General features: G+C 46.5%; 2 annotated features.

Moving 5' to 3' along the window:
- Window positions 7,439-7,628: an enhancer, noted in NCBI's record as "active region_19269". NCBI's record gives its function as "activates an Ori minimal core promoter by ATAC-STARR-seq in GM12878 lymphoblastoid cells {active_cell/tissue: GM12878}" and the evidence as "EXISTENCE:reporter gene assay evidence [ECO:0000049][PMID:35858748]".
- Window positions 15,079-16,278: an enhancer, noted in NCBI's record as "P300/CBP strongly-dependent group 1 enhancer chr22:47724406-47725605 (GRCh37/hg19 assembly coordinates)". NCBI's record gives its function as "activates an origin of replication core promoter dependent on BRD2, BRD4, P300/CBP, MED14 and CDK7 cofactors, with strong dependence on P300/CBP, by STARR-seq in HCT116 cells {active_cell/tissue: HCT116}" and the evidence as "EXISTENCE:reporter gene assay evidence [ECO:0000049][PMID:35650434]".

The raw sequence follows: 26,599 nt of genomic DNA, 5'->3' as shown, positions 1-26,599 counted from the left end.
GCAGCCAACTTGGCCTTGGGCCCCCCACCTCTGCATGGAGCTCCCCCCAGCACTGGTGATGGAGGGTCCCTTCTGAAAAGGCTCCAGTTTCCAGGGAGAAGTTTTCCAGGAGGATTTAGTGATTGGTTTAGAGCTAGGTAAGCACCACTGCTTCCCTTTAGCAAAGCCTCTCTGTGTCCCTTGGCCACGTACCCCTGCAGCCATGCCCACTCATCAGCACACAGCCTCAGAGGTCCTCATCCCAGAGGGAGCATCCCTGGGCACAAGCTGGGACAGTAGAAGCAAGGCAGAGCCTGCAGTTGTGGACAGGGCTCCCCCAGCCACACCGCTGCTGTCTCCCCACATGGCTCTGGGCACGACCTCTTCTTTCTGTGTGACTCAGGTTCTCCCTCTGTAAAATCCCAGAGGTCCGAGATGATGGCCGAAGCCTGGGTGAAGATTCTGGCATCCTGTGGTCTTCAGTTACACATGCGTCCCTAGACATTCACAGATTCTGAGGGCTTATCACTGAAGGGGCTGCAAATGTCTGTGAGGACAGGGATGGTGGCCAATCTGTCTTTTTAAGTACAGAGTAAAAAAATTCTAAATGACAACAGAATAAATACATGGGAGAATCAAAGTGGAATGTGAGCCACTCAGGAGCAGCTGTGACCCTGGCATCTAGGACAGAGGGTATCTGCTCAGCACGTGTCTGCTGGGGAGACTCCAGGCCCCTCTCCCAGCCTCACACACACACGATCTACCTCTTGGGCCCAGGCAACAGCCTCCCTTTCCCTGCAGACCCAGGTGCCCGCAGTGCCTCCCCCTGCTTTCCCCATGCCCTCCAGTGAAGTGATATGCTCACCTCTTTTGCCCATGCTCCCCATCAGTGAAAGCCATTCCAAGTCAGGGGTCTCGAGGTCATCCTTGACCCTCTTCCCAATGCTCCCTGGGCCCCTATCACCTTTCCTCATGGGGTTTCTCAATGCAGAGCCCACTTAGGGTTTAGGAAAGAAAACTTGCTCGAACGTCACTTCTATCTCTGGCCCATGCACTAATCGTCAAGTGCACCTGTAGCCCCCCATGTGGCATCCTCCCCTCCCCTCTCCAAATGCCCTTCGGAGGGCGGGTCCTGCTGAGAGCAGAGCCCCTGGGGCCCGGTCCTCCTGCCTTCATTCTTTCCTGGGCAGCCTGGCTTGGCCTCAAGCAACTCTTCCTGCATGCAGGGACTGAGTAGGGCAGGGATTGGCAGGGAGCGGGTAGGGCAGGGACTGGGTTGGGTAGGGTAGGGATTGGGTAGGGCAGGGAGCGGGTAGGGCAGGGACTTGGTAAGGCAGGGATTGAATAGAGCAGGGATTGGGTAGGGCATAGATTTTGAGTAGGGCAGAGATTGGGTAGGACCGGGACTGGGTAAGGAAGGGATCGGGTAGGGCAGGGATCCGGTAGGAAAGGAATTGGATAGGGCATAGGTTGAGTAGAACAGGGATTGGTAGCGCAGGGATTGGGTAGGGCAGGAATTGAATAGGGCATAGATTGAGTAGGGCAGGGATTGGGTAGGGCAGGGATCGGGTAGGGCAGGGATTGGGTAGGGAGGGGATTGAGTAGGGCAGGGACTGGGTAGGGCAGGGATCAGGTAGGGCAGGGATCGGGTAGGGCAGGGATTGAATAGGGCATAGATTGGGTAGGGCATAGATTGGGTAGGATAGGGATTGGGTAGATAGGGATTGGGTAGGATAGGGATTGGGTAGGGCATAGATTGGGTAGGACAGGGATTGGGTAGGACAGGATTGGGTAGGGCATAGATTGAGTAGGGCATAGATTGGGTAGGACAGGGATTGGGTAGGACAGGATTGGGTAGGGCATAGATTGAGTAGGGCATAGATTGGGTAGGACAGGGATTGGGTAGGACAGGGATTGGGTAGGGCATAGATTGGGTAGGGCATAGATTGGGTAGGACAGGGATTGGGTAGGACAGGATTGGGTAGGGCACAGATTGAGTAGGGCATAGATTGGGTATGACAGGATTGGGTAGGGCATAGTTGAGTAGGGCAGGAATTGGGTAGGGCATAGATTGGGTAGGACAGGGATTGGGTAGGACAGGGATTGGGTAGGGAGGGGATTGGGTGGGACAGGGATTGGGTAGGGCAAGGATTGAGATATTTCTTTTCAGTCCCCTCCATAACACGGACATAACATGCAGCTGGTGAATAAGCAAGTGGAAGAATGTAGTCCACACAATTTGTGATACCAACGAGGACAGCCAGGCCCGGCGGATGGCGTGGCCTGACCACAGCCATACAGGGGCTCCTCTGAAGCCCCAGGCCCGGAACCTACAGCTGCGTGATTAGAGCCAGGCTTGGAGAATGAGCAGGATCAGGACGTCAGCAGGTGTGGTCACCAGCGGGGACAGAAGCCATCAGGTGCCACTACTTTCCATCCTGGGCTCCCCTATGCAGGCAGTTGCTGCCGAGCCTTAAATCTCACATGTGTGAGAACTGATGCAGTCCCTCTAATTGTAATAAATTAGGTTGAAGGCTCTGCAGTGATGGAAAAATGAGTTTCTTTTACTCAAAGAGCTCAATTGACATCTTCCTAATCCTCCCTTTGTTTTCATTAATATCAAGCCCCACATGACCTCTCCCCCACCTGCCCTGCTCCCCAGTAGACAGGGGGCTCGGCACAAGGATGTGAATGGGGTGTTTCTTTTACCCTCTTCATCCTGGTTTACAGTAAATCTGTGGAATCTCTCCCTGCTAACGACATTTATAATGCAAAGGACGAAGTTTCCAGCTTGTTCTGTCAGATCATTACCACCTAACGGAAGACTGAGGTCCTCAAATCTGTCCACTGTAAAGTTAGCAGAGTTTCCCATGTGCACCATTTTGGTGGAGCAAGCTAGAGACGATGCTGGGGGCTCAGATCCTTGTCTGTTACTCAAAGCCTGGGGCTGGGAGGAAACGGAAGGAATCTGTTACACCTGATTCCCTCCCCCTTCAGCCAAGGGTGAGATCTGCCAACTTGGGTCCTCAGCACTGCCACCCCCAACCCCTCCACTTCTCCAGTGGAGTCTCCCTGACTCAGGTTTCCGTTTCTGCAAACACTGCTGAAAACCAGCTCCCTCCTGCCTGCTCCCTCCAGTTCCTTCTCCAGAAGCCCAACTGTGTCACCAGCAACAGCGACCGCCCCATAATCTTGCCTCCTCTCAAAACTCCGGGTGGCTTCTCGCATCACCTGGGATAGATCCCGGGTCCGTAGATGCCCGCAAGGCTGCACAGTGTCATGTAACTAGGAGCCTCTTTATCATCTTTCTGATATCAGCCTCCCTTGCTGGATGGAGCTCTCCCCAAGAGCAGGTACCCCTTGTCCACTGGGCCTGTGACTCTCAGTCCTACATCTCAGCCTCCAGCACAGCCAGCTCTTGAATTCTGCTCTGAGCACAGGTGGGCTCCAAATCCTGAAAGCATCCTGCAAAATAGTGTCTGCATCATGCTGTCTGGACTTCTATGGAAGATGATTTTTGACACTTGCATTTGGGGTGGGAGGAAAGCATGGAACTACTTAGCTTTGCCTAATTATACTTAGGGCAGGTGTTGGAAACCAAGAGGCAGTTAGGTGATGTAGCAGCCGATGACTAGTGAGGCTCACATCTCAAGACAAGGTGGGTAAGTGACCAACCCCATGGCTGCAACCCGGGGCAGTGAAGACCATGAGACACATGAATGCCATCAGGAGGCAGCATCCACGCTGAGGCTTGTCAGGAAATGTAAAGGCGGGACACTAGGATTCACCTGCCAAGACAAAGCTAGGGCAGATTAAAAGCCCTCCCCACAGCTGCAGCAGAGATCTGAGAAGCACGCATGGGCTCAGAAGAGCAGTGCCAGAGGTTGGCAGAGCCTGCAGTGGAGGGAAGCTGTGACTCAGAGTCAAGGTGGGGTCAGGGAAACAGCAAAACAGGACAAAGATGCAGACTTGTGCCTGTAGCCTCATAATTCCTAGATGAGAAGGAACAGAGGAAATACCTTGAATGTTGTTGAGGCTGCCACATGTATAGATGTGAGAAATCATTGTCTTTCTCTTGCCATGTAAAAACTGCTCTGATTGTTTCTATTTGTATTCCTTTATTAGTGAAGTTGAATATTGAAAAGTATCCTAAATAAGGAATCTATAATAAATCCAGGATAATGCACTGTGTGGCTGGATACTGACCTTGTTTGTGGCCTTGTTTATGTCTCACATATATATGTGACAACCTCGACAACATTCAAGGTATCGCTTGTTTCTTCACACCTAGGAATTAGGAGGTTCTAGGCACAATTCTGCATCTTTGTCCTGTTTTGCTATTTGTGTATGTAATTATGTAAATATACACAAATTGTGTGCATATAAATACAGAATTATCTATGTGTGTATATATGCACAATTATATATGTGTGTGTGTATATTTATATACACAATTATGTTAAGTTACTGCTAGAACATTGTATTTAATTCATTCAAGTGTGGCTTAGTCACTGTTACAAAGCCCAGTGTTGTTGACTTTATAAATTCCCCATTAAATGAACGCTATTTCTTGTTATAAGTAATCACATGGTCTGAGTAGACCCACTAGAATTCTGTTTCCCTAAGCAGGCAGGGTCATAATTTCAGGACTTGCATAATGGGCATAAACAAGGTCAATCTCTATCCAGCTACACTGTGCATTATATTGGATTATAAATTCCTTATTTAGGATATATTTTCAATATTCAGCTTCACTAATAAAGAAATGCCAATTAAAACAATTAGAGCAGTTTTTACATGGCAAGAGAAAGGCAGTGATTTCTCCCTCCTCCTATTCGACATTAACTAAAAGCAGAAAAGAAAATAACAAGAAAGGTATCCATAGCCCTGAACATCAATGTATGAGGAATGGCTACCATACAAAATAAAAGCCAGAAAAAGGTGTGAAAGGGGCCACGGGACCATGCCCGTGGTGCAGACGTCAAGGGGAAAGAGACAAAACCAGAATGAAAACTGACAATCTCTGATTAAGACCAGAGAAATGGTACACAGATGTGCGACAAAAGCAACCATGGACCGAGTCTGCAGCGTCCAGAGAGGAAAGGTGGGGCTGAACCAGGAGCTACAGAGGAGCCATATTTGCAGGAAGCAGTTTTATAAGGGGTCACACAGAGGAGAGAGGCTGCATTGTGAATTCAGTGACGACCTAGCGTGAGCAGGAAGAAGGAAAACTAAAATAACACAACCGCAAACACAGCCAGTGTCACACACCAAACATTTCATCACGATTAGAAAAATTTAGAACTCAAAGTGGAGAAAAAAGCATTGAGTGAAAATGGAGGTAGAACAAAAAGTGACAAAGCTCAGGAAAAAATATGAGGAAACCAGAAAATCATATCCGAAAGGTAAACCCAACTGAAAGCAGGACGGAGACAGATACAAGCACCAATGAAACGCAGTGTATTGGTCAGCGTTCTCTAGAAGGACAGGACTAACAGGATAGATGTATATATGAAAGGGAGTTTATTAAGCAATATTGACTCACACGATCACAAGATGAAGTCCCACAATAGGCCATCTGCAAGCTGAGGAGCAAGGAAGCCAGTCTGAGGAAGTTGAGATAGACTTGCGCTGCCATTGTTCAATGTGTGGAGTCAGTAGAGGATTGAGTAGGGTGTATAAAGTTAGAGTTAGAAGACGGGCACTAAAGCAAACTTCCAGTCCTGCCAAATGACAAAAATAAACAAACGGATGAAACAAAGTAAAGGATACACAGAATCTATAGTGAAAGATGTTCTTGAAGGACAATTAAAAGTAGAAAGTATAGGCCAGGCGTGGTGGCTCACGCTTGTAATCCCAACAGTTTGGGAGGCCGAAGCGGGCGGATCACCTGAGGTCAGGAGTTCAAGACCAGCCTGGCCAACATGGTGAAACCCCATGTCTACTAAAAATACAAAAATTAGCTGGGCATGGTGGTGCATGCCTGTAATCCCAGCTACTCAGGAATCTGAGGCAGGAAAAGTGCTTGAACCAGGAAGGCGGAGGTTGCAGTGACCCAAGATGGTGCCACTGCACTCCAGCCTGGGTGACACAGCGAGACTCTATCTCAAAAAAAAAAAAAAAAAAAAAAGTAGCAAGTAGTGTAGTAATAACAGGACTAACTTCAAACATATCTGTACTTCACTAAGGAGTTAAACTTATTCAGGAGGCAGAGGCCAATTGTGAACTGTATCCCAGAGGTATATCAAAAACAAAGCGACTCAGAGAGGTTAAAGATAAAAGCACGAAAGGCAAATGCATTTTTAAAATGCAGGGCCAACAATCAATATCAGACAGGCTGTATTTTGGGACAAAAGGCATTCTATAGAACAAAAAGTCACTTTAGAATGATAAAGGGTGCAATCCACAAAATCTAGCAATTATAGATAGTAGCACAACATAATGTAACATCAACTTCGATAGTGCTCAAGTTCAGAAAATACAAGAAGCAGCAGGGATACTTTAGAGTAGGAAATTTTAATTCATCTTTCTCAGGCCATGATGGATCAAGGTAGAAAAATGAGAAGAACACAGAAGCCTAAAAATAGAATTTAAAGACTCACAGGTTGCCAAGGGAGCCTGGGAAGCAGAGGGAAGCCCGTGGAATAATTGCGAGTGGTAACTGCCCCACCAAGGTAAGTACAGCTCAAAACACAGAATCCATAAAACAGGCTGGGCGCAGTGGCTCACGCCTGCAATCCCAACACTTTGGGAGGCTGAGGTAGGCAGATCACTTGAGGTCAGGAGTTCGAGACCTGCCTGGGCAACATAGCGAAACCCCATCTCTACTAAAAATACAAAAATTAGCGGGGCATGGTGGCACATGCCTGTAATCCCAGCTACCCAGAGGCTGAGACATGAGAATCGCTTGAACCTGGGAAGTAGAGGTTGCAGTGAGCCGAGATCATACCACTGCACTCCAGCCTGGGCCACAGGGTGAGACTCTGTCTCCAAAAAAAAAAGAAATCCATAAAAGAAAAAACGTTGGATTACATGAAAATGTTTTAATCTTCATGTCAAGAAGTACATATAAAGTAAGTCAAAAGACAAACTGAAAACCAGAGAAAAGTTTTGCCATTTATGTCATACAGTGCTATTTCTTATTAATTTTTTAAAAAGATATTTTTTAAAAAAATTTTTAAGTGTGCTAACAGGTATGATCCATGTAGGTGACAACACCCATCAATAACACAACAGAAAAATAATCAAAGGATACGAACCTGGTTTATAAAAAAGAAAATACAAATGGCTGTTAAACATACAAACAAAACATCAATTCTACACGCACAATTCTGAAACTAAAACTACAACGAGATACTATTGTTCACTTCCGCAACTGACCGAAGGGTTGACAAGCACTGTGTGGTGAGGAGGTGGGGCCCTGGGAGCTCTTATGCAGTGCTAGTGGGGATACGTCTCAGACAGGGTTTGCCTGGGAAAATGGAAACCCTCCAGGTCCTTCAATGGAGAGGAGATTAATGCAGGAGATTACAGGCTTACGAAGCTGTTGGGGAGAGAGTCAAGGTCAGGGAAGCTTCGGAAGCATTCAGGAATCCAGGAAGTGGAGACTGCAGGGACAGCCACTGCAGATCTCAACTGTGTGAACAGATGACTCACGCCTGAAAGCCACTGGCAGAGCTCACCCAGCCTTTATTGATGCCCATGTCTCACGCCATTGCCAAAAGTCAGCTTCTCTTTGTCTGGTTTCCAAATTTTACACCAGTGGCCCTTATTGGCAGAAACTAAAGAAGATCCCTGCTGGCAAAGGATTGAAGGAACATTGTTTCCAGGCTCTGACCCCTGCAATACAGAAGGACACAGCAAAGGGAGAAGGAATAATGAAGAGAAGATCGTAACAGATCATCTAGAAAAGTGGGCTACTAGGTACGATCCATGTACGTAATGACATCCATCAGATTTACCCTTGTACCCAGGAATTACACAGCCAGGAATAGGAATTTATCTGACAGGTATTTAGCACATGTGCAAAATGACATGTGCACCAGAATATTCATAGCACTGTTTGCCATATTAAAAGATTGGAAATACCATAAATGTCCATTAATATAGGACTGGCAAAGTCAGTTACGATGCATGCATATAATGGAATGCTAGGCATGCACTGAAAACAATGAGGCAGTTCTGTATGTCAGCTATGGTCCCATTTCTAAGATATATTGTCAAGTGAATAAAGCAAAACAGTATGTACATGTTACCATTCTTAGGAAAAGCATTTACTTGTGTAAAAGCTAAAATTAACCATGTATAAATAAGCTTGTTTGTGCAGGGTTCACTTTCCAAGATCCATAAGAAACTGCAAGTAGAGTTGCTTCTGAGGAGGAAAACGGGTCAGGGCTGGTCAGGACGGCCTCCCTTCTCTGTATGCATTATTTGGTTTTCTATGTATTAGCTAATCACAAATAAGTGATACTCATATCAGTGAAGGTTCAATCAGAGTAGAAACAACCGGTATAAATAAATACAGAGATGGAGGTGCTAGAGATTGTGATGGACATGATGGAGGTGATAGAGATGGTGATGAAGATAATGGAGATGGAGATGAAGATGAGGATAGAGGGATGGAGGTGATAGAAATGGAGGTGATGAAGATGATTGAGGTGATGAAGGTGATAGTGATGGAGATAAAGAAGGAGATGATGGAGATGGTGACGGAGGTGATAGAGATGATGATGATGGAGGAAATGGCAGAGGTAATGAAGGTGGAAGTGATGGAGGCAATAGAAATGGAGGTGATGAAGATAATGGAGATGGTGATGGAAATGATGGAGATGATGAAGATGATGGAGGTGATAGAGATGGAGATAAAAAAAGATGATGATTAAGGTGACGGAGATAGAGATGATGAAGATGATGGAGATAACGCAGGTGGTGAAAGTGATGGAGATGGAGATGATGGAGGTGGAGATAATGGAGATGAAGGTGGAGATGAAGGTGGAGATAAATGTGTTACAGGGGTTTAACCTCACTCACTTTGGGGAGCTTGTTAAGCAGTCTCCCAAGGCTGTTGTCTTTCCATCTGGCACTGGAGCTTAAAGTCCACAGGGCTGTCCGTGGGGCCAGGAAGATGGCTGCCAGGTGGGAAAGCAAGAACAGGCTGGAGCCCCAGGATGAACGGAGCCCACGAGGATGGACAAACCCCTGTCCATCTGGCCTTGAGGTGTTGTGTGTCCTCGAAGCCAGCTCCTCCTCATGGACTTAAATGCACACTCCCTACCTAGAAGTAGGAGGATCCAGGGGAACAAGTTGCAATTTGAGGCCCGGCCCTGCCTCACGCCCCTGAGACAGGCCAGGAACTGAGGACAACACACGTGTGTGGCCGAGGGCTGTGGCTTCACTTCTGCCCTCTGAGGCCCACACAGGAACCCCTCCCGTGGCCACAAGAGGCAGAAACACACAGAGGGAATCCTGGGAAGTACAGTCCACCGACCACTCTGACACATCACAGAGGAACCACACTTTCTAAAAAAGAATAATGTAGCCACATTTTATATCCCCTTTAAAAATATTGAGAAGTGATTCTTAATTCTGGCAAGAGTTTGATAACAATCGATGCAGTCATATGTTGTTGGTGACAGTATTAATGGTACAGACATCTGAAGAGCAATGTGGACAAATAAGTCAAGAACTGGGGGGATCTTCATCCCACTTCTGGAAATAGGATAAAAAATAATCATAACCTAAAATACTGGAGGAGGGGGGGCTCCATTGCCCCACTGTAACATTGTCTCTACCAATAAACAACCAGAAACAACCTAAATATCAAAAAAATGGCCTGACATGTACATCTTACTGTTCACAACGATCACACATTTTAATTATGCAGGCTCTGGCAATGTGGAAAATACCTACGGCATTAAGTAAAATAAAGCAGGTCACCCAAATATCTGTACACTCTGTATCTATGAATAAGATGAGTTTTACATGAGACCAAAGGTCGATGTGCAACACCCATGGGAATGCCCCTTGTCCCTGGAAAAGCTGGCCCAGGGGCCTGAGAGTGCCTCAAATATGACAGCAGCCCTTTTCCAGGAGGTAGGTGCCTGTAGCCGCTGTTTATCCATCCCCACTCTGCGTGAGATGCTTCACATCTGCTGTCACTAATGCTCCCAGCAGTCCAGCAAGGCAGGCGTTGTCATCCCTACCCCGGAATTAAGGAAACAGAGGTTCAGGCAGGATGAGGCACTTAAAGTTCACAACTGTTAAGTGGCAGACCCAGGACGCAAAGCCCAGTCTGTTTAACTCTAAAGACCTGCTCTTTCTGCTACACCATGCCGCAATTTTCCCAGTCCTCCCAGATCTCTAAAACAGGGTAAGTAACTGCCTGCTGACTGCTTTTTTCAGATTAATCTAATTTTTCATCCTATTCAAGGTAGGGATTTGGCAGGGATTTCTATTCCCTTACCAAGTCCATTCATATTACATGGAAACAATTTCCAAATTGATTTAAGAGCCTCGCTCCCGGGTGGTGGGTCCCAGCAGGTTGAATGTGCTTCCAGCTTGGCTTCTAAGTGACTCTGATTTATTTTAGAATTGGTGCTGATGAGGAAAGGAGCTTCTCTGCAGGGCCTGTGGAAAGATAGTGCCATGGAGAGGACTAGCAGGCAAGCACAGAAAGACTTCAGGACAGTTCCCCCTTTCCTCATAGAAAAAATGTCCAGAATATTTTATAGGAAGGGGTAGAAACAGTGCCCGCCAGTCTCTTGCATGGGCTGCCCTTTTTAATATCTTTCATCTCACAGAGAAGAACAAGTTGCTAGTCTGACTGCTCAGATTCAAAGCCATATATTAGGCCATATGGTAGACCATCTACAAAAAGAGCCACAATTATTCCCCTTCCTGTATCCCTGCTCCTTTGCAATGTCACTTGGCAGCTGCAGCTCCTCTCAACAGGAAGTGGAGTCTACTTCCCCACCCCTTAAATCTGGGCTGGACTTATGATTTGCTTTGACCAAACAGAATGTGGTAGAAATGGCATGAACGTGTGCCTGCCTGAGCCTAGGCCTCAAAAGATCATGTGTTCTCCTGGAAACCTGCCCAGCATCAGACAAACAAAGCCAGGCCAGCCTGTTGCATGAGGAGTCACTGCCTGCTCCTGCTGACAGCCAGCCAACCTCCAGAAGCAGAGCTGCCTAGCTGACCTAAGGCCAGCCACAAATACATGAGGGAGTCCCATCAAGGCCAGAAGAACCTCCCAGCTGAGCCCAGCACAAATTGCTGGCCCTTCCTGTCATGAACTAAACATCTGGGTGTTGTTTTAAGCCACCGAGTTCTGGGGTAGTTTGCAACCCTGAAAAAGCAAACTGATTCATGTGGAATTACTAGTGGGGAAAGTCACTGCTTCTAAAAAACATTTACCTATGCTGGCTCTGCCTCTCCTTCTTCTTCTCCAGGCATAGAAAAGAAAGCAGAGCCCACGCTGGCCCCAGGGTCAGGCTGGCCATCTTCTTTATCTCCCATCCCCTCTTCCTCCGTGCCCTAGAGTGGCTGTGTCTAAGAAGTCACCTCTTTAGCCCAGTTTATAACCAACAAGTCCACACCCAACACATGCCTGCAGCATGCAGGCCACTGCCTCTAGTTCATCTATCCAGCAGCCAGACCGTGGGTGGTAAGACCCTAAGATCCAAACAGTGACTGAAGAGGGACAGAGAGCTCTGCCTGAGCTCTAGCACTGGTACATCAGGCACTGGCCAGCTATTTTAAGACATTTCCTGTTTGGCTGGAGCTCCTGAGTTATCTCCGCAGAATGGAGGAGTGATGGACCAGGCAGAACTGTAGGCATGCCTCGGTTCTTAGCCACAACACTACCAAACACTGCCAAAATCCTAACTTGATCCCTTAGGAAAACATTTAATCCTGTTTACATGTGTCTGGGATTCTATTTTAAGAACATAATCAGAGAAGTGCATCAAGATTAATATTCAAGGGTGTTCACTGCAGCCTTATCGCCATTGAAAAACAAAACAGGGACAGATTATTAAATACTCGATGTCATCTACTAGGCAGGAACATCACCAGGGCACCAGCAGTCAGGCTCACAAAGGCTTCCCATTCCAGTGCTCAGTGCACAGTCACACCAGGCCCATCGGAGTCCGACCCATGGAAAGGGTCCCGAACCAGGGAGTCAGTAGACCCAGTGATCCATTGACCTAGTTACTTAATTGCTCATTCATTGGCAAATAGCCCCCAAGCCCCTTTTGTGTGCCAGACACCTGCTGGCTTGCTGAGACTGGAACTCGATCTGCTCTAGTCCAGCTGCCAGGGGAGGGGCTCCTGTACTCTCAGAAATAACTGCAGTGGGGCAGGGCATGGACAGGCACTAGGAGAGAGAGAACGGTGCCAGGGCACCCAGAAGATGAGGGAGCGGCTCTGTCATCCCTTCCCCATGGAACCCTAGACTCCCACCCACTCCCAAGCCCATCCACATGCCACCCAGCCCTCCCACGATGCCTGGCGCCCCAGCCTCCAGGAGCCCCTCCTTGAGCACCCCACCATCCGGCAGCCCTGCCTGCCCTTCCTCTTGGGGCATCACCAACGCCACTGCCATGGCCCTCTCCGTGGCCTCTGTAGACCTGCCTTGGCTTCCCTCTCCTCCACCAGGGTCAGAGCCAGGGCTGGAATCAGGCCTCCTGACTCTCGCTTCTCTGCTCCCTCCCTGGACTCTGCCCCTTCACCCACAAACACACTCATGTGGCCCGGACCCCCGTCCCAAAAACTCTCCCAGTTACCATTCAGGGCAGTTAGTTTTATGTGTCAACTTAGCCGTGGCCTCTGATGCCCAGTTTGGTCAAACACCATCCTAGATGTTTCTGTGATGGTGTTTTTTGGATGAGATCAACATTAAAATCAGTGGACTTTGAGTAAAGCTGATGACACTCTTGATGTGGCCTCAACCAAGCAGGTGCAGGCCTGCACAGGACCAAGGCTGACATCTGAGGAAGGGCGAGTTTGGCCAGCACCCTGCCTTCAGACTCAGGGCCACAGCATCAGCTTTTCCCGCATCTCCAGCCTGCCCGCCTGCTCTGCAGAGTTCAAACGGGCCAGTCTCCACAATCAAATGAGCCAATTGCTTAACATAAATACATATAAAGAGAGAGAGCCGGGCTGGAATGGAGCGTGTGTGTGTGTGTGTGTATGCGTATGTGTCTATGTATATGTGGCATACACATATGTACTTATCTATGTATACTTACACATATTCCATTGGTTGTCTCTCTGAGAACCCTGACTAACACAACTCCAGTACCCATGTGCATTTCAGGACTGGGTCAAGCGTCACTCCCTGCAGAAGCTGCCCCCAGTCCCCAGGTTGAGCTCACTCTCCCTCCCCCGGCTTCCATGGTGCTTAATGAACAGCCATGACGGAGCACACTTGTCACTGGGAGCCGGCCAGCCTTATGCTCCCAGACCTGAGGGTCTCTGTGGGTTTCTACTCTGGGTCTCTGTCCCCAGTCCTGGGCTGGGACCTGCCCGGCCTCCAAGATGCAGATGGGGGTGCAGGCACAAAGGTGCTAGTCTCACTGAAACTTACATGAAGTAGCTTTTATTCCTCAAACTTAATGAAGGTTTGGCTCTAGTATTAAATTCTTATTTTCAAATCTTACCTTGAAAGAGTCTGCATTATCAGGCTGAATGTGGGATCTGCCGAAAAAAATGTGAAAGTTATCTTCCTTCTGGGATTTCTCTTTTAAACAAATCGATAAATCATTTCTGGTGGCTTTAACATAGATTAGCCAACTAAATAAGTCAAGTCAGGGCTTACTCAGCTTCTTGGAAGTGAAAGATTTTAACACTGAAGTCTAAGGAAGTAACAAGGGCCCTGAAAGCCACAGTGGTCTGGAGTCTTTACAAATGCCTGGAGGAGGTCCAGGGATGACCCAGGGGGCCTTCACTTCAGTGGCCACCATCTCTGCATTTCCAGGGGCTCGCCCTTCCCCAACCCATGTAAAGCCAGAGTCCGGGGAAGTCAGCCAGCTGCCAACATCGGGACCAGGCCATATTCCTGAGAGTTTATTATTATGGATCTCTGCCCGTCAGTCTGATGTTTGGGGAAGAAGAGGGAGAAAAGGAGGGGATGGAAGGGAGAAAAGCAAGGTAAACATATCAGAGCAGGAAGACCACCCAGCAGGTGAGTAAGCTGCTCCAGAGAGCCCCCGTTCCTGAGCTGTGCTGGGAGCAGGGGCAATAGAAGGAGGAAACAGGGCAGCCGAGAACTGGCTGGTGCTGCCCTCCAAGAACCTGCTTGAAAGTGCTCAGTAGTGCACTCTGACAACCTTTCTAGCACACAAGCACACGCACCCACACATGCATGCACGCACACGAATACACATGCACAATGCACACAGTCATGCACGTGCATGCACACAAGCGTGCACACACACATGCACAGTGCATACACACATGAACACACAAGGCACACATGCACACACAATGCACACATGTGCAGACACACATGCACACACAATGCACACACGTGCATACACCCATATGCACAGATGCACACACAAACTCTTAAGTACTCCCAGCAGCCTCAGCAGCCTCAGCACACCCTCCCTTTTGAGAACAGGCTGCTTACCTTGTCGCAAAGCCACTGAAAACAATCGCCTCAATCACTCCTCCTCGAAGCCAGCCTGGCTTGGCAAGGACTCAACTGACCACTGTCTTCCTGAGGAGCCCAGGCACTGCCAGGATGGAAGTCCCCAGTGAGGCAGCCGACTGAACTGTCCCTGTGGAAGTTCTTGGCCGCAAACACCAACCACGTGAGAAACTCTAGTAAAAGGCTGCAAAAAACCTCCCCACCGCCATTTCACCCCCCATCACCCCCAGCAACCAAAAAAAGGGAAGGGTTTTATCCTAAAGCCGTAAACCACACCAAATGAAGATCAAAGAAAGACTCAGAAGATCCTGGAGTACCCATGCCACCGAGGCTCCTCGTCCCAGAGACTGGGCTGGGAGGTGACAAAATCCTGGGCTTTCTCACAGACACCAAGAGGAGAAGAAAGCAAGTGGGGTGGGTGCTCTGGCGGGGGATGGCCATGGTGATGGTTGTTCTGCCCCTCCCCTTCCTCCTTCTGCTCCTCTTCCTCCTCCTTTCCTCCTCATCCTTCTCTTCCTCCTCCTTCTCCTTCTTCTGTCTCACAACAAAACAACGGAGACTGATGCTCAGAGAAGCGGGTGAACCAGGGAACCTGAAGCATCGGCAGAATCCATCTGATGGAAGCAAAGTCTCTAAGACAATACTCTGAATTACAGGAGCAGTCAAGATCCCAGGGGAATCTCCTACTGAGCAGTACCCATACTCTCAACCCTGGAGAAGGGTACCCTAAAGCAGGACTTCTGATGAAATCTCAGGGAAGAGAGACTTCCTCATTCTCCACCCAGAGACGTTCCTTCGGGCTGCAGAAAAGTAGAGACAACATAAGATATCTCAGCTCCTCACCTAAGCTCGGGCCCAAAATAGCCTGGTCACAAATTGTTGGGAAGAGATCAAGAAGTTACCTGTCAGAATGGTGCAGGCATAAACAATATGAAAACAATAAAAGCACAACTAGGCAAATATGCTATACAAGAGAAAAGAAGTAATGAATGGAAAAGAGAACGATCCCAACCTAGAGAAAAATAGTCACTCATGGAAAGAAGGAAAGTCCCCTGGCCGTTGTGTGCTACAGAACAACTTAATTAAGCCATGACTCAAGTGAAATGAGTCAGAATGAATTGAGGACCAACTGAGGAACTGAGGACCAATGGGATGTCATTGCGGAAATAATAATGAAATTATAAGCACCGAGGAACAGAATCAAAGGCACATTTCCCTGAACAGATAACGTGCTGACTCCAGGCTGAGTCACGCCAGAGGAAGGCCAGATGTGGTCAACACACACTCCCCGAGCTGTCCCTCCGGGCCCACGGCCTGTGCGCCAGGCAGGGGGGAAGACTAACTCCCAGCCCACACTCCCAGGGAGCTGCCTACCCAGGAGGTGAGAGCAACAGTGAAGGGGCTTTGGCCACAAGTCACAGAAATAGAACTAAGCTAGTTTGAGCAGAAGGGAGAAAAAGGAAAAGGAAAGAGGTAGGAGGGGAGAAGGGAGAGAAGGGGAGGGGAGGGGAAATAAAGAAAAAGAATGTAACGGCTGGGGTGGAGCCACTGAAGGTGTTGGAAGAATTCACAGGCTTCAAGAAGAACTGAACAAGCACCTCCCTCAGGAAGCAGAAAAGCAGGATCACCTTCCAACACCTCAGTAGCCAGGACTATGACAGTCTATGGACTGTGCCTCCATGTACCACGTCAAAATCACCTGGAAACTTTTAAAAATTGTGGCAAAATACACATAACATAAAACTTACCATCGTAGCCATTTTTAAGTGTACAGGTCAGTGGCATTAATAAAATTCGCGTGATTGTGCAACCATCGCCACCATCCATCTCCATAATCTTTTCATCGTCTCAAACGGAAACTCTGTCCCCATTAAACAATAATTCTTTGTGCCCCAGCCCCAGCCCCCGGCACCCACCATTCCACTTTCTGTCTCTATGCATTTTTTTTTTTTTTTTTTTTGAGACAGGGTCTCGCTCTGTCACCCAGGCTGGAGTGCAGTGCTGAGATCTTTGCTCACTGCAACCTCCGCCACCTGGGTTCAAGTGATTCTCATGCCTCAGCCTCCCGAGCAGCTGGGATTACAGGTGCCCGCCACCATGCCTGGCTAATTTTTGTATTTTTAGTAGAGACGGGTTTTCACCGTGTTGGTCAGGCTGGTCTCGAACTCCTGACCTCAAGTGATCCGCCCACCCCGGCCTCCCAAAGTGCTAGGATTACAGGCATGAGCCACCGCGCCCGGCCATCTCTATGCATTTTACTTCTGTAGGTTTCTCATGTGTGTGGAATACTACAATAATTGTCTTTTTGTGACTGCTTTACTTCACTTAGCATGATGTCTTCAGGTTTCATCCGTTTTGTCGCATGTGTCAGATTTTCCTTCCTTTCTGAGGCTGAGTGACATTCCACTGGATGGATGGACCAGATCTTGGTTATCTGTTCATCTTGTCAATGGACACCTGGCTTGCTTCCATCTTTGGGTTATAGTGAATAATGCTGCTATGAACATGATGTGCAAATATTTCTTGAGACTGTTTTTCATTCTTTTGGCTATGTGATGGTTGACTTTGTGTGCCAACTTGACTGGGCCACAGGGTGCCCGGATGGCAGTTAGACATGATTTCTGGGTGTTTGAGAGTGTTCCTGGACAAGATTTGCACTGGCATTGGGGGACTGAGTAAAGCAGGTGGCCCTCTCCAATGTGTGTGGGCGAAGGCCAATCCACTGAGAACTTAAATAGGACAAAAAGGTAGAAAAGGGTTGAATTCTCTCTGCCTGACTGAGCTGGGACATCCATGTCCTCTTGCCCTCAGTGCTTCTGGTTCTCAGGCCTTCAGATTTAGACTGGAATCCACACCATCAGCCCTCCGGATCTCAGGCCTTCAAACTATACCACCAGCTTTCCTGGGTCTCCAGCTTGCCGATGGCAGATCATGGAATTTCTTAGCCTCCATGAGTCTGTGAGTCAATTTCTTATCACTCATCTCATTCTAGGAAGCTCTCTATATATCATATATCCCTAAGCTCCAGTCCGTGGCCTGTTAGGAGCCGGGCCGCACAGCAGGACGTGAGTTGTGGGCAAGCAAGCATTACCACCTGAGCTCTGCCTCCCATCAGATCAGCAGCTGCGTTCAATTCTCATCGAAGCATGAACTCTATTGTAAGCTGTACATGCGAGGGGTCTAGGTTGTGCTCTCCTTATGGAACGGTTTCATCCCGAAACCATCCCCCACCCCGGTCTGCAGAAAAATTTTCTTCCACAAAACCTGTCCCTGGTGCCAAAAAGGTTGGGGACCACTGATATATGATGGATATCTATCTATGTATATATCATGTGTATATCCTGTTGGTCTGTTTCTCTTGAAAAACCCAAGTAACACAGGATAGACTCAGAAGCGGGATTGCTGATTGCTGGATCATATGGTAGTTCTATTTTTAATTTTTTGAGGAACCTCCATACTGTGTTCCATAATGGATAGTGGCTCACCTGGAAACCTGTAACAAAGTCCCTAAGTGACCCAGACGCGCACTGGAGTTTGAAAGTCACTGCACTAGACTCCATCCTGACATGATTCTGTGATAATAACTGCGAGACACGATGTCCCTTCCCACACATTTCAAACCCCGCAAAGAGTCTAATTGGCCCAGCTCATCAGAGAAATGCAAATCAAAACCACAAGATATCATCTCACACCAGTTAAAATGGCGATCATTAAAAAAATCAGGAAATAACAGGTGCTGGAGAGGATGTGGAGAAATAGGAACACTTTTACACTATTGGTGGGACTGTAAACTGGTTCAACCATTGTGGAAGACAGTGTGGCCATTCCTCAGGGATCTAGAACTAGACATACCATTTGACCCAGCCATCCCATTACTGGGTATATACCCAAAGGATTATAAATCATGCTGCTATAAAGACACATGCACACGTATGTTTATTGCGGCACTCCTCACGATAGCAAAGACTTGGAACCAACCCAAATGTCCAACAACAATAGACTGGATTAAGAAAATGTAGCACATATACACCATGGAATACTATGCAGCCATAAAAAATGATGAGTTCATGTCCTTTGTAGGGACATGGATGAAGCTGGAAACCATCATTCTCAGCAAACTATCACAAGGACAAAAAACCAAACACCACATGTTCTCACTCATAGGTGGGAATTGAACAATGAGAACACTTGGACACAGGAAGGGGAACATCACACACCGGGGCCTGTTGTGGGGTGGGGGGAGTGGGGAGGGATATCGTTAAGAGATATACCTAATGTAAATGACGAGTTAATGGGTACAGCACACCAACATGGCACAGGTATACATATGTAACAAACCTGCATGTTGTGCACATGTACCCTAGAACTTAAAGTATAATAAATAATATATATATATAAAATAAAAAACAATAAACATAAAACATTCACCACAAAAAAAAAAGTCTAATTGGCCCAGCTTGGGTCAGATGAACACCCAGGCACAGACCCGCTCTGTCCAGAGGGCAGAGTTACAAAGTGAAAACAGGGCCTCCAGGTGCCACAGCCAAGAGCAAGGTGGAAGGTCCCCTAGAAGAAAACAAAAGACAGCCCAGTAGGTGTCTACCAAGTAGAGCAGAGACTCTTTCACCATCTAAGAGCCTCGGAGAGGCCAAATGTTCCAAACAAGAGACTGAGGGGAACAACTCAGGTTGGAATGTGGCTTCCCAGGGGACAGACTGCTGGAGGGAAGGGCTCAGGCTGGAGGACAACTGGCCAGGGTTTACATTCACCCTTCCACTGTGTCTGCGGTCTCCAAACTCCAGGTACTTCAGTGAGATGTTGTACCTGTTAGGAATTACAGCTGCTTGCTGGGAAATGGAAAACAGTGGCTGGGATGACTGGAAGCCCGCAGGTGGGTGGGCCAGGGCTCCCTTGGTGACTCTGAAGCCATCAGGGCCCCTGCCTCCTTCCACCTTTCTGCTCAGCCATCCTTAGTGTTGTGGGTTTGTGTCCCTCAAAGAGACATGTTGAAGCTCTGACTCCCAGGACCTAGAATGTGACTCGATTTAGAAATACGGTCACTGCTGACAGTGTCATTAGTTAAGACGAGGTCAGAATGGAGTAGGGTGGGTCCTAAGCCATTATCACTGGTGTCCTCTTAAGAAAAGAATAAGAGACACAGACACACAGAGAGGAGAAGGCCCTGTGAAGATAGAGGCAGAAATTGGGAAGCTGCAAACCACAGAACACCAAAGACTACAGGTGGAACCAGAGCTGAGAGAAAGGCATGGAACGGCTCTTGCCCAGAGCCTTCGGAGGTAGCACAGCCCTGCTGACACCTTGATCTCGGACGTCTGGCCTCTAGAATTGCGAGAGAGTAAATGTCTGTTGTTTCCAGACAGTTTGTGGTGCTTTGTTATAGCTGCCCGAGGAGACGGATGCACCCAGCACAGGCTGTTGTCCACTGGTCACAAAACAGCTGCCCCACCTCCAGCATTGCCTCTGCTTTCAAGGTAGGAAGAAAGGGAAAACAAAGAGCAAAAGCTACCCACCTTCTAGCTGAGCCTGTCTTCCATCTGAAACGTCTTCCTGAAAGCCCCAGCCAGCAACTTCTGGGAACATCTCACTGGAGAAAACTTGAGTCCGGTGGGGCTGGGCAATGAAACTGCTCTAGCTGCTGCTGTTCTCAATCTGGATGCACCCCGCCCCCAACAGGCTCCGAGTTCTGTTGATAAGAAAGTGGGATCATGTGAGTAATTTGAAGACCACTAGGATGGATGATGTCCTGGTCCTGATCACGCCCTCCATCTGGTGTCTCAGTGCTTCCATGAGGACACTCAAAAAAAAAAATAAACAATGAAAATTGTAAATTTCTAAAAAATAGATAAAGTGTATAATACTTACTAGTTCTATAATGTTTCCCGTATGTCAGGTACTATCCTAAGAGCTTTAAATATACAGCTCATTTACTTCACAACAAGTCTGCAAGGTAATCTGTTGATCCCATCTCACAGGTGAGGAAACTGAGGCAAAAGAGGTTAAGAAACGTGCCCACATTTATACAGCTAGAAAGCGAAGCAGCTGGAACCTGAACCGAGGCTCCGTCGTCTCTCCACAGTGCTTAACCAGTTCTGGTAACATCATAACTCCCCCAAAGACATATTTTTCTCTGGTTAAATGGGGAAAAATATTTTTTTAAAAAAGTCTCGTTTCAGTCACTAGTTTAAAATGCACAAAACTGTGTGAACCCACTTAGCCCTCTGCAAGCAGTTTGCCAGGTGGTCAGGATTCTCACCTGCAAGGGATGCTCCTGAGGCAGTGCTCGCCACGTGCATGGAGCCCCCCTGAAGTAGGCTGAATACTGATTTCTGGAAATTAGAGAAATAGATATTTATGTTATCATGAAGAATGGCTTTCAGAAAGCTCTTCCCAGACGTAAATCAGAAGCAAACACTTAACCAAAATTGACTAAATACTAATCCACTGTGTCAATCAGCAGCTCAGCGCCAAAGCCATCCCAACTTTGGCTTTACAATCTGCATTTTTAAGCATCTCACCTGCCCATCAAGTACTCACAAATCTCTAAATCCCATTCTCTGCGTAGCCGCTGGCCCTATTCTGCCTTCTGCGTGGATGTCACAGACAGTGAGCTTCATCGAGAGGGTTTTTTTTATTAGTAAAGTTTTCTGTACCAATTTTTCTCTGCCTGTTTCTCTGTGTGTGTGTGTGTGTCAGTGTCTCACTCTGTTGCCCAGGCTGGAGTGCAATGGCACCATCTCAGCTCACTGCAACCTCCACCTCCCAGGTTCAAGAAATTCTCGTGCCTTACTCTCCCGAGTAGCTGAGATTTCAGGCATGCACCACCACACCTGGCTAATTTTCTTGTATTTTTAGCGGAGACCAGGTTTTATCATGTTGATCAGGCTAGTCTTGAACTCCTGACCTCAGGTGATATGCACACCTTTGCCTCCCAAAGTGCTGGGATTACAGGCGTGAGCCACTCCCCACCAGCCCCAATGCCAGCCTACCTGCCTGTTTCACCATTGCAATGAAGCAAAAAAAAAAACAAAAAAAAAAAACTCTGACTTGGTCTTAAAGAAAACAGCACAGCTTTTCTATAATGATCATCCCTTTTCTGGCCCATAGCTGGCCTCAGCTAACCATTCAGTCCCAAATGGCGATGGGACCCGACCCCAATCCCTTGTCCACAGCCTCGTCCCAGCTCTCTTCGCTCACCCATTCTGGCTCTGCATCCTGACCTCATCTCCTGGCTCCCTGCCCAGGTGTCACTTTCGTGACTCTTTTCATCCTTTTGCACAGACGTCCTCCAGGCTCCTGGGAAACCTCCCATTTATTTATTCAGTAAATAATTAGCGAACACCTGCCATGGGGCACACACTGGCCTAGGCACTGAAGTGAGCATGAAAGACAAGAAGCCTGCCTTCTAGAAATGAACATTCTGACATGTGCATCAGGCAATGAGCAAGGGACCAATGAATGTCAGACATGCACATTCCTCCTGCAATGCATACCTGTGGACCCACCTCCCATAGCAAGAGTGATGGCACATGTGGCCAACTGGATGTTGTGGAAATGACAGGATATAGCTTCTGAGTCTGGGTCATAAATAGCATTGTTGCTTCCACTCATATCACTAATTCTGGGAAAATCAGCTGCCACATCATGAGAACACCATGGCATCCCTATGGATAGGGTTCCTGCCAACCACAGCCTGCCAGCTATAGGAGCAGGCCCTCTTCAAAGTGGATCTTTCAATCCCAAGACCTGGCTGATGTCTTCAGCACAATTTCATAAAGGACCTTGAGAGTGAGCTAAGCCACCCCCAAATTCCTGACCCACAGAAACTGAGATAATAAATGCTTGTTGTTTTAAGTTTTGGGGCTGCTTGTTATGCAGCAATAGGTAACTCATACACTGATAGTGCTACTTTAATTAGGTGATGAAGAAAGTCCTTTCTAAGCAGCTGACTTTTGAGCAGAGACTTGAATGAAGTGAGCAGGTCAGGTAAAGATGTGCAGATGGGCATTCCAGGAAGAGGAAAGTGGACCTGCCTGGGCACCGAGATGGGCATAAAATGACCTTTTTATGAATAGCAAGGAAGCCAGTTTGAGTAGAGTGGATGGAAGAAAAGGAGATAAGATGGAAAAGGTAGACAGAAAAGGTCAACTCGCATAGGACCTTTTGACCCATAATGGGGATTTTGGATGTTATTCTAGGCATAAGTTGAAATTGTTGGAGCATCTTGAACAGAGGTGTGGCATATTAATTTTGGCTGCTGGATGGGAATGGACTGTACAGGGGAAGAGATAAAGATAGGAGGCCAACTAAAAGGCATCTGTACCAGGCCAGCAGAAAGTAACGCTGTCTCGACTTGGTGGCTATTTTGAAGGTTGAACCACCCAGCACTCGCTACTGGAAAAGAGATAAGGTATGAGAGAAAGAGAAATTGAGGACTATGTTTTGGACTTAACAAGGATGATTTGGGAAGAAGTGGGTCAATAAGGAAGTGAGATTAAGAGTTCAGTGTCCAGGCCAGGCACGGTGGCTCACGCCTGTAATCCCAGCACTTTGGGAGGCTGAGGTGAGCAGATCATGAGGTCAGGAGATAGAGACCATCCCAGGTAACAGGGTGAAACCCTGTCTCTAATAAAAATATAAAAAAAATTAGCCAGGCGTGATGGTGCATGCCCGTAGACCCAGATACTCAGGAGGCCAAGGCAGGAGAATCGCTTGAATCCGGGAGGTGGAGGTTGCAGTGAGCCGAGATCACACCACTGCACCCCAGACTGGTGAAAGAGTGAGACTCCGTCTCAAAAAAAAAAAAGAGTTCAGTGTCCAAAAGTTTAGGTTTGAGATGACTATTAGACATTCAAGAGATTTGCAAAGAGAAGATGAATGTACAAGTCTGAACGTCAAAGGGGAGGTCAGGACAGGGAATACGGATGCCATATGTACATCCAATTATTTAAAGCCATGATACTAGAGGTGACCTAGAGTGTGAACACAGGTAAATAAGAGAGGGGTAAAGAGCTTGTCCTGAAGCGCTCCAACATTCCAAGGGCGGGAATACGACAAAAGGAAATCCCTAGGCCCCTTGTGGGAGCCTAGAAGAAAATATAAGAAATCATTCTCTGGAGGAAGACATCATTATCCCTTACCCCCAAGTTATTTCTAGAAATGTGTTGGTTCACATACAATGACCAGAAAACTAACAAAGACAACCAGGCACATAAATACAAGATATCATGAGTAAAAGCCACTGGAACCAACGGTTTATAGCAACAACCATATATCACATCCAGGTATTAGAATTACCAGCCACAGATTGTAAAACAGCTGTGCTTTCTACATTCAACATAAAAGCTAAGCATGAGAAGTTCAGCAAAGAACTTGAAAACAAAACAAAACAAAAACTGTAACAGATTTTAAAAGAAAATCCATATGGAACTTTTCCAATTTAGAAACAAACAAAAATTAAGTATTTGATGACTCGGTGGAAAGGCTTCTTTACAAACAAATAGACATCAATGAAGAAAAAATTAGTGAAAAGGAAGACAGGTTAATAGAAATCACCCAAAAGAAATTATGGGGAGAAAAACACAAGGACTATGCCAGGAAGAAGGTAAAAGACAGATGATACAAGGGGGTAGCTCTAACTTGCATCTAATTAGAGTGCCAGAAGGAGAGGAAAGGCAGCTCAGAGTAGAGGCAATATTGAAGAAAATAAAACTGAGAACTTTTTAGAACTGATGAGCATCACCATACAAATTCTAGAAACCAACCAATTGCAAGCAGAACATAAAAAACAAATGCACCTAGGTATTTCGTGTTGAAAACTGTAGAATTTTTATTTATTTATTTATTTGAGAAGGAGTCTCACTCTGTTGCCCAGGCTGGAATGCAGTGGCAGGATCTTGGCTCATTGCAACCTCCACCTCCCAGGTTCAAGCGATTCTCCTGCCTCAGCCTCCCAAGTAGCTAGGATTACAGATGTGCACCACCACGCCTGGCTGATTTTTGTATATTTAGTAGAGACGGGGTTTCACCGTGTTGGCTGGGCTGGTCTGAAACTCCTGACTTCAGCTGATCGGCCTGCCTTGGCCTCCCAAAGTGCTGGGATTACAGGCATGAATGACTGTGCCCAGCCCAGAAAACTGTAGAATTTTTTTTAAAAAATAAAATTTTAACAATAGAGAAATAAAAAGATAGATTCCCTTTGAAAGAGCAATCTCAGACTTCAAGCTGACCTCTCCAGAGATGAGAAAGCCCAAAGAAACAGACAGGACGTCCACATGCCAAAGGCCAACTGCCATCCAAGAAATTCACACGCAGCCAGCACGTCCTGCAAGAACAGGGTGAGAGAAAGAAAGTCTCAAACAAAAGCAGGGAGATTTCATCAACAGCAAATTCTCAAAGAGGCTCATCAGACAGGAGAAAATGACCCCAGATGCAAAGCGTTATGAAGATCATTAGCAGCAAATAGAGGAAAGAGGCTCAATACACAATGACTGTGCAAAGTAATAATGTAAGGCCTGGTGAGTTTAAAAATATATCAGAATAAATATCAATGTAGAATTTGAAATACATTGCAATAAATATCGATGTAAAATATCAACGTAGAATTTAAAATATGTTGGAATAAATATTGATGTAAAACATATCAGAATAAATATCAATGTAAAATGCAATATCTGGTGAGTTTTTAAACATATCAGAATAAATATCAATGTATAATCTATAACCAGCAACTCTGGAATATATGCTAGCAGAGGTAAAGTGTTCCAGAATTCTTGCATTTTCCCAGAAAGTGGGTAAAAGTATTGATTAACATTGAAGTTTGATGTGTCAATGATGTATATTATAATTTCTAAGGTAACCACTAGAATAAAAGAGTGCATATTTTTGAACTAAAAGAAGAAAAAGTGGAATGACTTTAAAAACTCAGTTACTGCAAAGGAAAGCAAGAAAATGAGAAAAGGAACCCAGAACAGGGGCTACAATTAGATATCACATAGTAAAGCAGAAAAATATATTTTGAATACATCAGTAATCACAATAAATGTTAATGGTCTTAATCCTTCAATGAAAAGCCAATTTTTAAAACCAAGAGTTTTAAAAATCTATGTGCTATTTCTGTGAGTCCTATCTAAAAGTAAGAAAAAAGAAAGGTTTAAAGGAAAGAATGGTAAAGGATACTGACATCAACACCAATCAAAAGGAAGCTGCTGTATGAAAATCACTATCTGAGCAGTAAGTTCCAAGGTAAAAAGACTACTAGAGATAGTGACTGCTTATATTGATAAAAGTTTTAATTCACCAGGAATATATAATAATTCCTAAGTTTGCACCTAAAAACATGACCTCGATAGAAACAAAGCAAAAATTAACATATGTACAAAAATGGCAAATCCTTCAACATTATAATTGATACCTAAAGGAGGGTGGGCTGGTGAGGACGTGAGGACAACACGATGTGCAAAGTCAATGCAGCGCAGACGAACACACGATGAAGAGGGTCACAGGCGGAAAGTGAGTGATATGGAAGCATTAGGTTGATGAGTGTCTGGTGACAGTAATCCAGAAAAGAGGAGAGGGGGTGAAGGAGGGAGGGGAGAGCAGACGAACACATGATGAAGAGAGTCACAGGCGGAAAGTGACTGATACGGAAGCATTAGGTTGATAAGCTTGCAAGCCTTGATCAGTAAGTGTCTGGCGAGAGTAATCCAGAAAAGAGGAGAGGGGGTGAAGGAGGGAGGGAGATGGGGTAAGAGAGAGACTGAGAGAGAAACCAACGTCAGGAACAAAAAGGGTGATGACACTATAGAGCTTGCAGTCAGACTCTGCCTTTGGAATAAGAATTTGAGAAAATTTGAATAAAAATGACTAATTTCCAGGAAATTAAACAGCTTATCAAAACTGCCAGGAGAAGAAAATCAAAATTTTCCTGTAAGTGATAAAATTATTGAG

This window comes from Homo sapiens, chromosome 22, assembly GCF_000001405.40.
Source record: "Homo sapiens chromosome 22, GRCh38.p14 Primary Assembly".
Taxonomy (NCBI): domain Eukaryota; kingdom Metazoa; phylum Chordata; class Mammalia; order Primates; family Hominidae; genus Homo; species Homo sapiens.
The sequence above is the reverse complement of the archived record's forward strand: the minus strand, read 5'-3'. Positions and strand labels throughout refer to the sequence as shown.